The sequence below is a fragment of the Homo sapiens genome, chromosome 6 (genome assembly GCF_000001405.40).
Source record: "Homo sapiens chromosome 6, GRCh38.p14 Primary Assembly".
In the NCBI taxonomy this organism is placed as follows: Eukaryota; Metazoa; Chordata; class Mammalia; order Primates; family Hominidae; genus Homo; species Homo sapiens.
Window position 1 is genome coordinate 150,822,090 of NC_000006.12, and position 15,787 is coordinate 150,837,876.

General features: G+C 43.6%; 1 protein-coding gene and 1 pseudogene across 10 annotated transcripts in view; both read left to right on the forward strand.

Annotated features, from left to right (window-relative positions):
* The window catches only part of PLEKHG1 (pleckstrin homology and RhoGEF domain containing G1), a 243,781-nt gene that overhangs the window by 222,205 nt on the left and 5,789 nt on the right, over positions 1-15,787 (forward strand). For 7 of the 10 annotated variants that reach the window (NM_001029884.3, NM_001329799.2, NM_001329800.2 and 4 more), the window contains 2 exons: positions 1,565-1,587; positions 8,493-10,116. In NM_001029884.3, coding sequence (NP_001025055.1) covers positions 1,565-1,587; positions 8,493-10,116 — 1,647 coding nt within the window. The remainder of the gene's footprint in view (positions 1-1,564; positions 1,588-8,492; positions 10,117-15,787) is intronic. The other 3 variants (NM_001329804.2, NM_001329805.2, NM_001329806.2) reach the window with 1 other exon arrangement.
* On the forward strand, positions 5,536-6,531 carry PDCL3P5 (PDCL3 pseudogene 5; annotated as a pseudogene).

The following is a 15,787-nucleotide window of genomic DNA, read 5'->3' on the forward strand; positions in this document are numbered from 1 at the left end:
CTTGGCCTCCCAAAGTGCTGGGATTACAGGCGTGAGCCACCACGCCCAGCCCAAAGGACTCAAAAAAAAAAAAAAAAAAAAAAAAAAAAGAATAGGGCAGTTTCACAAAAACACACAAACTGGCAATAAAAATTTTAAATGGCCATCCATATTCATAATCAGAAAATCCATACATTTAAATGAAATAAATAGAAGGGAAAAAACTATGAACGTGGCCAAAACATATAGAAAAATAGTCACTCCAAAACTGTTGGTGGGAGTAAGTTTTTGCAACGCTTCAGGGGCAAAATTTGGTAATAGTCGTTTGAATTTAAAAATGTACATATCCTCTTAACCCAACAGTTTCACCTGCAGAGATGTACTTACCCACATGCAGACGGATTTATGTGGGAGTTTGTTCTTTGCAGTATTTGTAGCAGGACACTCTATAAAAATGCCCATGCAGTTGGAAATATACTTAAAGAAATTGTAATACATCCATACACACAATGGAATATTCTACAGCTGTCAAAAATAAAGAAGATCTCTACCTGTTCACAAGAGTGTCCACGTATATTTAGCAGAATATACAAAGTTGCATATTGAATCCTTATTTTAAAAGTGAAACAGGCTGGGCGTGGTGGCTCACGCCTGTAATACCAACACTTTGGGAGGCCGAGGAGGGTGGATCACCTGAGGTCAGGAGTTCGTGACCAACCTGGCCAACATGGCAAGATCCCATCTCTACTAAAAATACAAAAATTCACCAGGCATGGTGGTTTATGCCTGTAATCCCAGCTACTGGGGAGGCTGAGACACAAGAATCGCTTGAACCCGGGAGGCAGAGGCTGCAGTGAGCCGAGATTGTGCCACTGCGCTCCAGCCTGGATGACAGAGCGAGACTCCATCTCAAAAAAAATAAAAAATAAATAAAAGCAAAACAGTTATGGTGGGATGGGAGTAGTGCAGGAGCTGGAACGATAAACATTCAGCTGTTAACTGTTGTTTCCTCGGAGGATGGGATCTGTGGAGAGGGAAGGACTTCATATGCTTCCGTAATCATCTTTAAAGGGGAGACACCCATAATTAGGCTAGCTCTAAGGGTGTCTTCTCTAAGGATGTGGCTATGTAAATCTCTCCCCACAATTCCACTGGCAACACCCCTTCTTTGCAAGAAGGCTGCATCTTTCAGTTAAAACCAATAAAATGTCAAAAAATCAGCAGAAACAATATCATCTTTACATAATTGTCATGGCATGGGGCATGTGCAATTTCTTTTTCAGGAAACAACACATTTTTGTTCGGAAGCTTTTGAAATATCTTGAACATGAATTAGTTAATGGCTGTCAGGGATTAAGGAAGACAACTAGTGCTCAGATGCATGTAAGGTTGTTTGATGTAGTGTGGGGGTATGCAGCTGGGAGAGCTGACAGGGATTTTCTGAAAATTAGATCTATAGGGCCCAGAAGTCACTTGGGCTTCAATTACTAGTAATAAGTTTCTAAGTTCTATAAAATATTAGTGCTTACTTATATAGGAGGTACATTTTCATTCTCAAACTTGAAAAAAAACTTTTATTTTTCAGAAACAGCACAAGACATCCAAAAGGTAAGCTCTATCTCATTTCTTACTTGGAAATGTTCACTTCAGGCACCTTTCATAGGTGTCCCTTCCCCATCTCTGTCATCTCCAGCCCGTATTCCAAGTGTCAACAGTTATTTTACATTTTGGAAATATGGTATTTTACATTTTGAATTATTTACATTTGATTTAAGCAAAGACTCATCCTTATCAACTTCTTCCCTTTCCCCAGCCCACATCTGAGAACCATGGTGATTATTTATTCATCCTCTGCCCCATATCACACCTCAGAGGCTGTAACCTTACCTTAGGGTGTAATACCTGCCCGGTGCTCACGTGAGCCACCTCACATTGTCCTTTGCCACCACCAGTGTAAGACCAATGCCCCTGCCTCCTGGATATAACTCCCTCCTCCAAGCGCGAGCCTTCATTCACAAGGGCGAGGGGCCCCCTTCTAAGAATATGGTTCTGCTGCTGACGTAAGAGGTGATGGCGTATGATCGAATGAGACTTTGTCATATCAAGTTTTGATTTTTCTTCCCCTGAGAAAAGCTTAGGAGAGGGAGAATAAGAATGGTATACTGTATTGGAAGATATTATATCCAACTGTATTGCCTATGAAGAATAGGTATTTTCTCCTGACCTGAGTGGTTTGTCCAGTGTGGCTACTGATCAGTTGGCTTAATTAACAATTCTTAGAGAACTGATCATGGCTCCTTGTTTAATGTTCTGTATCTAGAAGAATATGGCTGTGAAACCTCTCCCTATAATCTCATTTCCACCATGGCTTAGCACAGAACCAAAGCGACCTTGTTGATAAACGTTGTATCTTTCCATTAAAACCAAGAAAATGTCTAAAAATCAACGTAGTCTTTTTTTTTTTTTCTTTTGAGACTGGATCTCGCTCTGTTGCCCAGGCTGGAGTGCAGTGGTGCAATCTCAGTTCACTGCAACCTCTGACTCCCGGGTTCAAGCAATTCTCCTGCCTCAGCCTCCCAAGTAGCCTAGTAGCTTGGACTACAGGCACCCGCCACTAGGCCCAGCTGATTTTTGTATTTTTAGTAGAGACGGGGGTTCACCAAGTTGGCAACGCCAGTCTGGAACTCCAGACCACAGGTGACCCACCCGTCTCAGCCTCCCAAAGTGCTGGGATTACAGGCATGAACCACCACACCCGGCTGAACATAATCTTACCTTTAAGTGATTGTCATGGCTGAGGTGTGCGCATTTTTTTTTCAGGTAGTACATGCTTTTGTTTGGAAACGTGTGAAACTTATTAATTGGTTCATTGTCCTGAAATATGGCATAAGGTTTTGGTTTCATAAGTGGGGTCACTGCAGAGGGCTCCCTGCTCTTCAAAGCAGCCACAGTAGCATTGTGGAGCCATGCCCTCTCAGTGCTAAAAGAAGGAATCTCCCCATCAAAGAGTTCTAGAGATTCAGTCTCAGGAGCTGCTTGAAAACTTTCTACAGCAGTGCTCAAGCCAGGTCCATATGGGCATAACCAAACCTTATGAAATAAAAAGGCAAGAAAGAAAACATCCATGCTTTTTTTGTGATAAAATTCCATCTCCTAATAGTAATGTGCTGAAGGTATATTAAATTCAAGGAGAGCAGATTTACTGATGATTAAAGAGTTTGTAACAGCCAGGTGTGGTGGCACACACCTGTAATCCTAGCACTTTGGGAGGCCAAGGTTGGCAGATCACTTTGAGCTCAGGAATTCAAGATCAGCCTTGGCAACATGGCAAAACCCCCTCTCTACAAAAAAAAAGTACAAAAATGAGCTGGGTGTGGTGGCTTGTGCCTGTGGTCCCAGCTACTTGGGAAGCTGAGGCTGGAGAATCACTTCGGCCGAAGTTGTAATGAGCTGAGATAGTGCCACTGCACTCCAGCCTGGGCAACAGAGTGAGATTCTGTCTCATAAATAAATTAACAAGTAGTTTATAACAGGAACTATTCCTTAATAATAGCTTAATATTTCTCCCAGAATATATATTCTGAGGCTGCGTATATGTGTGTATGAGGTGGTTAAGCTCATGTATAAGCCGTGGATTAAGACATGGATTCAAATCTGTTTCTGCCATTTATAAACTGTGTGACTACAGGCAAATTGCTTAACCTTACCAGGACTTAGTTTCCTAATTTACAGAACTGTTAAAAAGATTAAATGCAACATGTTCTTAAAAGTGCTTATTAATGGAATATTTGGCACAAAGCAAGTGTTCTATAAATGATAGCTAATATCGGCCTGGCATGGTGGCTCACGCCTGTAATCCCAGAACTTTGGGAGGCTGAGGTGGTTGGATCACCTGAGGTCAGGAGTTTGAGACCAGCCTGGCCAACATGGTGAAACCCTGTCTCTACTAAAAATACAAAAAAATCAGCAGGGCGTGGTCGTGGGCGGCTGTAATCCCCAGCCACTCAGGAGGCTGAGGCAGGAGAATTGCTTGAACCCAGGAGGTGGAAGTTACAGTGAGCTGAAATCGTGCCATTGCACTCCAGCCTGGGCAACAAGAGCAAAAAAGGCTGGGCGCGGTGGCTCACACCTGTAATCCCGGCACTTTGGGAGGTCACAGCGGGCGGATTGCCTAAGCTTGGGAGTTCACGATCAGCCTGGCCAACACAGTGAAACCCCGTCTCTACTAAAATACAAAAAATTAGCCGGGCATAGCGGCATGCACCTGTAGTCCCAGCTACTTGGGAGGCTGAGGCAGGAGAATCACTTGAACCCGGGAGGTTGAGGTTGCAGTAAGCCGAGATTGTGCCACTGTACTTTAGCCTGGGCAACAGGGTGAGACTCTGTCTCAAAAAATAAAAACATGATAGCTAATATCATTGTTAAATAGCTCAAATGCTGAGAATGTGGAAGGACAGGAGAAAAGTTCATTCAGGCTGTGGCAAAACTGCCGTATCGAAATTATTAGGTTGGTGCAAAAGTAATTGCACTTTTTACCATGACTTTCAGTATTGTGACCAACATATGCTGATTCTTTCCTATTTTTTTAAACATTTATTTATTTATTTTGAGACAGGGTCTTGCTCTGTCACCCAGGCTGGAATGCAGTGGCACGATCTCAGCTCACTTTAGGCTCAGGAATCCTCCCACCTCAGCCTCCCAAGTAACTGGACTACAGTCATGCGCCACCACGCCCGGCTAACTCATTTTTTGTAGAGACAAGGTCTGACTATGTTGCTCAGGCTGGTCTTAAACTCCTTAACTCAAGTGATCCTCCCACCTTCACCTCCCAAAGTGCTGGGATTACAGGTGTGTATCACCGTGTCCAGCCTGATTCTCTCTCTATCTTTCTTTCTGTTTCTTTCTTCCTTCCTTTCCTTTCCCTTTCTTTCCTTCCTTTCCTTCCTTTATTTCCTTTCTTTCCTTTCTCTTTCTTTTCTTCCTTCTTTCTTTATTAAATTTTTTTGTAGAGATGGGGTGTCTCACCATGTTGCCCAGGCTGGTCTCTAGTTTCTGGGCTCAAGTGATCTGCCTGCCTTGGCCTCCCAAAGTGCTGGGATTACAGACATAAGCCACCGTGCCCAGATGATTACTTCTTAATTTAAGAGTGTCTTCAGTTTTCTTAATGATTAATTTGATGTAAATTTACAGCTTCCAAAAAACTGCTTTCTTTTTTTTTTTTTTTTTGAGATAGAGTTTCGCTCTTGTTGCCCAGGCTGGAGTGCAGTGGCACAATCTCGGCTCACTGCAACCTCCGCCTCCCGGGTTCAAGCGGTTCTCCTGCCTCAGCCTCCCAAGTAGCTGGGATTACAGGCATGCATCACCATGCCCGGCTAATTTTGTATTTATAGTAGAGACGGGTTTCTTCATGTTGGTCAGGCTGGTCTCGAACTCCCGACCTCAGGTGATTCGCCCGCCTCTGCCTTCCAAAGTGCTGGGATTACAGGCGTGAGCCACTGTGCCTGGCCAAAACTGCTATTTTCATTTCAAGTGTAATTACCTTAAAAAGATACTTCAGCGGCACAGCTGGCTTGAGCAACTGAACTGGAAACAAGATGCAGGACCCCAACGCAGACACTGAGTGGAATGACATCTTACGCAAAAAGGGTTTCTTACCCGCCAAGGAAAGAATTGGAAGAATTGGAAGAGGAGGCAGAAGAGGAGCAGCGCATCCTCCAGCAGTCAGTGGTGAAAACATATGAAGATATGACTTTGGAAGAGCTGGAGGATCACGAAGGCGAGTTTAATGAGGAGGATGAATGTGCTATTGAAATGTACAGACAGCAGAGACTGGCTGAGTGGAAAGCAACTAAACTGAAGAATAAATCTGGAAAAGTTTTGGAGATCTCAGGGAAGGATTATGTTCAAGAAGTTACCAAAGCTGGCGAGGGCTTGTGGGTCATCTTGCACCTTTACAAACAAGGAATTCCCCTCTGTGCCCTGATAAATCAGCACCTCAGTGGACTTGCCAGGAAGTTTCCTGATGTCAAATTTATCAAAGCCATTTCAACAACCTGCATACCCAATTATACTGATAGGAATCTGCCCACGATATTTGTTTACCTGGAAGGAGATATCAAGGCTCAGTTTATTGGTCCTCTGAGTGTTTGGCGGCATGAACCTGACAAGAGATGAGTTGGAATGGAAACTGTCTGAATCTGGAGCAATTACGACAGACCTGGAGGAAAACCCTAAGAAGCCGATTGAAGACGTGTTGCTCTCCTCAGTGCGGCGCTCTGTCCTCATGAAGAGGGACAGCGATTCCAAGGGTGACTGAGGCTACAGCTGCTATCCCATGCCGAACTTTCTTGTGACAAATTGTCTGGATTTTTTAAAAAAGGAAAAAGCAAGAATGAATCCTTGTGGTTTTTAGTTTTGTATAAATTATGTTTCAAATCTTTACATTTTGGAAATAATCATTGCTGGAGATTCTGTTAAATATTTTGGAACTCTTTTTTTTAAATTATAGTATTTCCTCTAAAAAAAATTAAAACCAGCCATTTGTATGGCAAAAAAAAAAAAGATACTTCAATATTAACAATTCAGGTTTCCTAATTTTCTAAAACCTATGGGAATTTTCTGGGATGGACGATCTTAGGAAGGATCACTTTTGGCTGTTGTGAGAAACACAAAATAATTTTATTACACTTTAAAAATGTTTTGTCATAATTTAGTTAATATTAACCTTGTTTTACTTTATAAAAAGTAGTTACTGGGTGCCTATATTTTTATAACATTAAACCAGTGCAGTCTGAGTAAGGTGAAGAGAAAGATATATTAAAGAATGTGAAAAACATATATATGAACAAATATTAGGTATAAATATTGTGTGTGTATGTATGTGTGAAAAGAAATAAATGGCTAATTGAATTGCTTAAGTTTTAATAGAAAAATAACATTTAGGATGAAATTCCATTATTGTCTCTCTACTCCTCTCTTCCCTCTCTAATAGATATTCCAATTAACATCTATCCCATTTTCATTGACATGTGATGAAAAGTTCTTGCTTATTTGACATTTCCAATAGGTTACTATAGTGTTTTATTAGAATATATGTCTCTGGTACTAATTAGGTCTTAACCCTTTCAAGCCTTTGAAGTTAATCCTGTCTGCAGAATAGAATCAGAGGGTAATCTGCTCCTGTCTGCACCACTGAGCTCCATCCAGAAGGGTTCCAAGTTATAAAAGACCTCATTGTTTTCTTTGATTAGAAATCACTAATTTGGCTGGGTGCAGTGGCTCAGGCCTATAATCCTAGCACTTTGGGAGGCCAAGGTGGGCGGATCTCTTGAGGCCAGGAGTTTGTCTAAGACCAGCCTGGCCAACACAGCAAAACCCTGTCTCTACTAAAAATACAAAAATTAGCCAGGCGTGGTGGCGGGCACCTATAATCCCAGCTACTCCAGAGGCTGAAGCACGAGAATTGCTTGAACCCAGGAGGCAGAGGTTGCAGTGAGCCAAGATCATGCCAAGGGACCCAGGCTGCATTCCAGCCTGGGCGACAGAGCGAGATTCTGTGTCAAAAAAATAAAAATTAAAAAATTATTAATATTGTTCCTATTTTACTTCCTTATAGGCAACTAAATGTTAATTAAATGTATTTTGAAATAAGTAAAAATGTCATTAAATGAACAGAGGATTAAATTACACTCCTACAATAAAAACTCTTTGCCTAGAGTCTATAAACCAAGGTAATGCTGGCCATGTTCGTGGTGGGTCTGCAGATTTAAGAGAAATCCTTGGAGTGTGTGGTCGGGTCAGCAGAAGGGGCTTTTCGTATACCAGAAACCACGATAAAACTGCTAGGAGACAAGCACTGGCCCTAAAGCTCCTTAGAAAGTCTCAAATAGAACAGATAGCATGGCCCTTAACTTCTATACATATTAATTTATGCAATGAATATTTGCCAAATGTACACCAGACTTACTTGAAGAATCTAAGAATTTTCTGTATTTAGCTTATATCATGCTTTGGGGCAAGGGGTTTGGGGTTAGACCTGGGTTCTAGCAGTAGTCTTACTACTGACTAGATAGAGCAAGTTACTGAACCTTTAGGAACCTAGATTTCCTTACTGTGAAATTGGTACGATCATACCTAATTTCATAAAATGATTGTGAATATTAAGTTTGGAGAATGTCTGCACATTGCCCAGCCTAGTTTCTAAGTATATATTAGTTCCTGTCCTTCCCTTTTTGAAAATATCTGAAGTGCTTTTCAAGTCAGTTAAACACTCAGCCAGGTGTAGTGGTTCACACCTGTAGTGCCAGCTACTTGGGAGGCTGAGGTGGGAGGATTGCTTGAGCCCAGGAGTTTGAGATTAGCCTGGGTAACACAGCAAGACCCTATCTCAGAAAAAAATAAAAGAATATTAAAGCCTAGTGGGGGAGGCAGTGTGTAAACACAGGAGAAATTCCTGAGTTATGTGTCTTCTCCATGGTGCTGTGATTCAGTTGATATGTTTCCATCTTCCTCAGGTTTCTAGAGAGGAAGGATCTCCCCAGCTGTCTTCAGCAAGGCCGTCTCCTGCCCAGAGAAATAGTCAGCCTAGCAGTTCTACCATGATCAGCGTGCTTCGAGCGGGTGGAGCTCTCAGAAACATCTGGACCGATCACCAGATCAGGCAAGCCTTGTTTCCCAGCCGACGGTCCCCGCAGGAGAATGAGGATGATGAAGATGATTATCAGATGTTCGTGCCGTCATTTTCCTCCTCAGATCTGAACTCTACCAGACTATGTGAAGATAGCACTTCTAGTCGCCCTTGCAGCTGGCATATGGGACAGATGGAGTCCACAGAGACCTCCAGCTCTGGTCACAGGATTGTCAGGCGGGCCAGCAGTGCTGGGGAGAGCAACACATGCCCTCCTGAAATAGGAACTAGTGACAGAACTAGGGAACTGCAGAACAGCCCCAAAACAGAAGGGCAGGAGGAGATGACTCCCTTTGGGTCATCCATAGAGTTGACTATTGATGACATAGACCATGTCTATGATAACATCAGTTATGAGGACTTAAAACTAATGGTTGCTAAGCGGGAAGAAGCTGAATCCACTCCCTCTAAATCAGCCAGGGACTCCGTTCGCCCCAAGAGCACCCCAGAGTTAGCCTTCACAAAGAGGCAAGCTGGCCACAGTAAGGGCTCTCTTTACGCACAAACAGATGGCACCCTCTCAGGTGGAGAGGCATCCAGCCAAAGCACGCATGAACTCCAAGCGGTTGAGGAGAACATCTATGACACCATAGGGCTCCCAGATCCTCCGTCGCTGGGTTTTAAGTGCAGCAGCCTAAAGCGTGCAAAGCGGAGCACCTTTTTGGGTCTGGAGGCCGACTTCGTGTGCTGTGACAGCCTGAGGCCATTTGTTTCCCAAGACAGCCTCCAGCTCAGTGAGGACGAAGCCCCTTACCATCAGGCCACTCCCGATCATGGTTATCTGAGTTTGCTGTATGACTCTCCCAGTGGTAACTTGTCTATGCCTCATAAGCCTGTATCTGATAAACTGTCCGAAGAAGTAGATGAAATCTGGAATGACCTGGAAAATTACATCAAGAAAAATGAAGACAAGGCCAGAGACCGTCTCCTGGCAGCGTTTCCTGTGAGCAAGGATGATGTGCCAGACAGGCTGCACGCAGAGAGCACCCCTGAGCTGAGCCGGGACGTGGGGCGCTCTGTGTCCACGCTGTCCCTGCCTGAGAGCCAGGCTCTCCTCACGCCCGTGAAGAGCAGGGCTGGCAGAGCCAGCCGCGCCAACTGCCCCTTTGAGGAAGACCTGATTTCTAAAGAAGGCTCCTTTATGAGCCTTAACCGGCTTTCTCTGGCTAGTGAAATGCCCCTCATGGACAATCCCTACGACCTGGCCAACAGTGGCCTGTCTCAAACAGACCCAGAAAACCCTGACCTGGGGATGGAGGCCACAGATAAGACAAAAAGCAGGGTGTTTATGATGGCTCGGCAGTACAGTCAGAAGATTAAGAAGGCGAATCAACTTTTAAAAGTGAAAAGTCTGGAGCTGGAGCAGCCGCCGGCCAGTCAGCATCAGAAATCCATGCACAAAGACCTGGCTGCCATCTTGGAAGAGAAGAAGCAAGGAGGGCCCGCCATTGGTATGTGCACCCTGCCCTTCTTCCTTCTCCAAAGTAAGAGGGGAGAGCGGTTTTCAGATTTCAGATGTCCTTAAAACGGACACACCTGTGAGAACACTGACACTCAAGCTTTGTCATCTCAAAGTAAGACCACAGACAAAGCCATACTGGCCTTTCTCACATCGCCTCCTGTGAATTATCCACATTGTAGCATGATTTGGCCTCAGAGGGTGGTGGTGTGCATGTAACATCGTAACTGCAGAGATAATATTTTAAGAAAGAGTTTTCTCTAAGGTGATCTGAAGTATGAAAAACGCAATCAGTTTTAACCTGTGCTATCTCCAACTTTTCCAGTATATCAGTAATTTTTTAGGAGGAGGAGGAGTGTGTATGATCTTCTGAGGTTTGGAAGCATATAGAATAACATTGTTTCTGGCTTCAGGATCTCAACAAAAATGCCAACTCGTGCTAACAAAAAGAGGGGTTTTTTTGCATACTTTTTTTTTTTTTTTTTTGAGACAGGATCTCACTGTCACCCAGGCTGGAGTACAGTGACACAATCACAGCTCACTGCAGCCTCAGCCTCCCCAGGCTCAAGCAGTCCTCCCACCTCAGCCTCCTGAGGTGGGACCAGAGGCACTAACCACCATGCCCAGCTACTTTTTACATTTTTTGTAGAGAAGGGGTTTCACCATGTTGCCCAGGCTGGTCTCGACTCCTGGGCTCAAGCAATCCTCTTGCCTCAGCCTCCCAAAGGGCTGGGATTACAGGTGTGAGCCACCACGCCAGCCATTGTACTTTCCTTAGTTGCTCGCACTATAAATCAATGGTTTTCTCACATATCTCCATTACTACTCAATTTTTTTTTTTTTTTTTGAGATAGGGTCTGGCTCTGTCACCCAGGCAGGAGTGCAGTAGCATGAACATGGCTTACTGCAGCCTCTGCCTCCTGGGCTCAGGTGATCCTCCCACCTCAGCCTCTCTAGTAGCTGGGACTACAGGTGTGTACCACCACGCCCCGCTAATTTTTTTGTGTGTGTGGTTTTTTTGTAGAGATGGGATTTTACCGTGTTGCCCAGGCTGCTCTCAAACTCCTGGGCTCAAGTGACTCTCCCACCTTGGCCTCCCAAAGTGCTAGGATTACAGGCGTGAGCCGCCACACCTGGCCTACTGCTCAATTTTTTAAAATAGCTGCTGTAATGCATTCAACACTATCTCATTTAGTATTTTCATATATGCTTCTGAGTTTAATGCTTTAGTTAGACTCCTTTGTGGAGCACAACCAAACCAGAATCTTAGGTGTGATATTGTAGGATCAGGACTATGGGAATGAGATGCTCATGGTTAGACTTTTTTTGAAGGCCAAAATTTAACACTGATCTCTGGGGAAGAGCCTAGCTGTGAATAAAGCCCCTGATTGTCATAGAAAGAAAAGTCCAAAGGTAGTGGCTCTTGCCTGAGGAGCTTTTACCTCCAGGCACAGAGAGATTTCTGGCTATAGGCTCAGGAATATGCCTTTCAAATAGTATGCCCTTTTCATCATATTTTAAGAAATCCTGCCCCAGATTTTCTAACCAAGGACCACCTTAGTATCAAATGAGAGGAGTCTATTCTACAATTAAAAGTGAAAGCTGGGTGATGGCTTAGTATCAGGACAGGCTCTGATCATTAGCTTCATTATCAGCACATTGGGACAGGTTGATGCCACTAACTATTAAATGCTGTCTTTGGGATTGACATTGACATCCATGGAAACTGAAGAATAGGAAGGGCATATCCAAATCTTAAATGAATGCACAAGTTACATAACAAGAATCTGTAGGGAACTTTTTTTTTTAAGTTTGAGAGTATTTAAGAATTGTCTAAAGTTTTAATCTTCAGTACAATTTCTTAACAGATAGGGAAACAAAGTGCTGGAATTGATGCCTGAAGGATTTCACAGACTCTGAGTTCTTCTTTTTAATCAAATGAAGGTTTTGTATGCATGTGAGACTAGAATGCATGTATTTTTCTCCTTGCCATGATGCACTATGAGTAATTCAAGTCCCTATTCTGATGCTAGCGTTGCTAAGCTGGTTTGCTGTTACAGGGAAAGTGACTGAGTTCCCGCTGCAGGAGGACAATTTTGGTGGGGTAGGGGAATATATATGGCCTTAGAAACAGTTGTATATTGGCAATTGCAAGCACTGACTAAGTCTGGGTTGGGGCTCCTCAGCATAAGAGGAAATGTAATGCTGAAGTTTTTGATGATGATGGGTTATGCCCACAGACTACCACTGAAAAAGTAGTAATTCCCTGGGCCAGGTTGTTTTGAATATGGACCATCTGTTAAAATACAAAGCTCCAATCTTGACAGAAGCATGTCCTTTGATACTGAATCATTAGGGCCTACGACTACCTCGAGTAGTCTTCTTTTTTACCCACCTTTTTAAGTATTAAATGATTTCACATTGGGGTTTTCTTTTCACTTTTGGTTGGCTCTCCTTTTTGTTTTGCCTGCTGGTGTTGTCTTGGGATGCCCCAGGATCTTTTCTCAGCTTTGCGTCTGGGTCCTTTCTTGACATGGTGGGCTCCTGTCGACGTTCTCCCCAGCAAGGAGGAGGAAATCTCTCCCGAGTCATCTTCTGAGAGTGCTGTCTTCCCTGCCATCTGGCAGAGGCACGTCCCTAGGACCTGATGAGTTATATCCACACCTCGTCCAGCTGGGTGATCGAGACCACTTCCTGTGCCCACTAGGCTTTCCGTCAGTTGACATGATGACTCCTTTTCTCTTTCTTGTTTATCTGGGCACAGGACGTCGTAATCGAATGGACCGATTCTCCAGACTTCTCCGTGTGGGCCTTGCCGCTTTGCCAGGAGCTTGCTCTCGGTGCTGTGCGGAAGGAGGAGCACCTTATTCACCTGCCGAAACTCTCGAGCATCTTTATTGAACTCTCTAGCCGGGGTCTCCAGGCCCTGGGTCAGATTTCTGCCTATAAATCACCCAACCAGGTCCAGTTGCTCCCATATCTTAGAGCCTGTCATAGCATGCTGGCCATCTTGTTCCATCAGACCTTCCTCCTGATAGTCTTTGAGAGCAAGGAGGCCTTTGGGTTTCTGGGTTTTTTGGTGATGTTTCACATGGGAGAAAACTCCATACAGGCTTGAGAAATTTTCCTCCTTGTGTAGAGTAGGGAAGGCACAATTTTATGCTTTTGTCTGCATCTCGAGCAACATCAGAAACATTTATTTTAATCCTCTGTCTGGAGGATTAAAATGTTGTTTGATATTTCCCTTGGCAAACATTATTCTAAATTTTTGTCTGAGATCATAAGAACTCCAATTTTCAAATCTCAAAAAAGGCAATAAACCAGAGACATTCTTGCGATTGTCATGTAGTCATAATGTATATATTCTATACAACTGTTAATACTAGAACTAAGGATATGGGGGAGCCTCAACTCAGCTGACTAATACTAAGCTTTTTAGGCCAGAGGTGTCATCTCAGGCTGGCTGTTCCCTGTACATCTGGCTAATAGAATCTGTTTAATTACAGCTGGAGCTCTGGAAGCTTGTCTCTTGTTCACATAGATGTCACACAAGCTATAGACTCTCTTAGAAGGTCAAGCTGAAACAAAAAGCCCCTTAGATCAGCAGGTGCAGTGACTCACACCTGTATGGCCAGGCACAGTGACTCACACCTCTATTGCCTACTAGTGAGATACCTTTTATTCAAAATTGATAAATGGTCAACTCTATCATCCAAAGATAAACTGTTCCCATTATGAGTTATCTATAGGAAGCATTTTAGCTGTCTTCTTGCTTCTGCTTTTTCTGCTTATGACCTGATTTCCAGGCCACCTTTCCACTCCCAGTGGTATGGTCTCAGGAAAGTGCATCCCTTTTTAAAAGTAGGCTTAAAATGAAAGGAGTCTGGGTGCAGTGGCTCACATCTATAATCCCAGCACTTTGGGAGGCTGAGGCGGGCAGATCACTTGAGGTCAGGAGTTCAAGACCAGCCTGGTCAACATGGTGAAATCTCGTCTCTACTAAAAATACAAAGAATTAGCCAAGCGTGGTGGCGGGCACCTGTAATCCCAGCTACTCTGGAGGCTGAGGCAGCAGAATCGCTTGAACCTGGGAAGTGGAAGTTGCAGAGAGCCGAGATTGCGCCACTGCATTCCAGCCTGGGCAACAGAGTGAGACTCCATCTCAAAAAGATTAAAAAATAAGTAAAATAAAGAAGGGAGTGAAAAAAATTCTGAGTAATGAATTAGTTATTGAGACCACTTTCTGTCTAAACCATGCTAGGTCCTCTATAGGGAGTTGAACAAAATGTACAGCATTGTTCTCCCAGACCAAAAGCTCAGAGGCCAGGCGAGGTGGCTCACACGTGTAATCCTAGCACTTTGAGAGGCCAAAGCAGGAAGATTGCTTGAGCTCAGGAGTTTGTGACCAGCCTGGGCAACATAGCAAGACTTTCTCTCTACAAAAAATTTAAAAGTTAAAAATTTCCAGGCACAGTGGCTCATGCCTATAGTCCCAGGTACTCAGGAGGCTGAGGCAAGAGGATTATTTGAGCCCAGGAGTCTGAGGCTGCAGTGAGTTATGATTGTACCATTCCACTCTAGCCTGGCCAACAGAATAAGACCCTGTCTCAAAAAAAAAAAAAAGAAAAGAAAAGCTCAGGGACTAATAAAGTAACTTACATAAAATGGCCAGGTGCAGTGACTCACACCTGTAATCCCAGCACTTAGGGAGGCTAAGGCTGGTGGATCACTTGAGATCAGGAGTTCGAGACCAGCTTGGCTAACATGGCAAAACCCTGTCTCTACTATAAATACAAAAATTAGCCAGGCGTGGTGGTGGGTGCCTGTAGTCCCAGCTACTAGGAAGGCTGAGGCAGGAGAATCACTTGAACCCAGGAGGTAGATGTTGCAGTGAGCCAAGATCCTGCCACTGCACTCCAGCCTGGGCAACAGAGTGAGACTTTGTCTCAAAAAAACATAAAATGAAAATAAAGTAACCTACATAAAATAATTAGCAACACAGCAATACAAATTGTGTGTGTCTGCATGTGTGTGTGTGTGCACACACAGGCAACAGCTAGGTACACACTATGTAAGACTTCAGAGAAGAGAAATCAGAAAAGGATTCAAGTAAGGAGAAGATAGGGCTTATGGAGAATCTTGAGAGATGAGTAGGATTTGATTAAGCAAAGGACAAGGAGTGTATAATAAGACAAAGGCATGGGAAATACTGTGGATATTTTGGATGATATGTGATTTCAGATTATCTGGGCTAAAGTCAAGATCTGATTGTTCTTACAAGACTTAATGGTTAAATTTTGATACTGGAATAGTTTGTTTGAATTTTTAAAGTTCTACTACATTTTCCAAAATTGTCATCTTCTTGGAACCTTGTAGAAGTTCAGAGCCTTCCTGATACAGCTGTGGGATCAGGCTCAGGGCTATACTGTATGTGAGAATGGCTTGAGCAGACCATCTGCCTTTCAGGCAGGTCTGCTAACTAATGACTATATTAAAGGTCCAGCTGATTTTGATTGGGTTTCATAGTTAATGAAATATTATAGTTTCAGGATGGCTACCATGGGCACACTGGTGTCTGTGGAGACTTTTACACTCTTTCTCTTAAGATGTTGCTAAACCCTAATTAGTATTAAGAGTCTTTACTGCGCCTTTTATGGAATCAT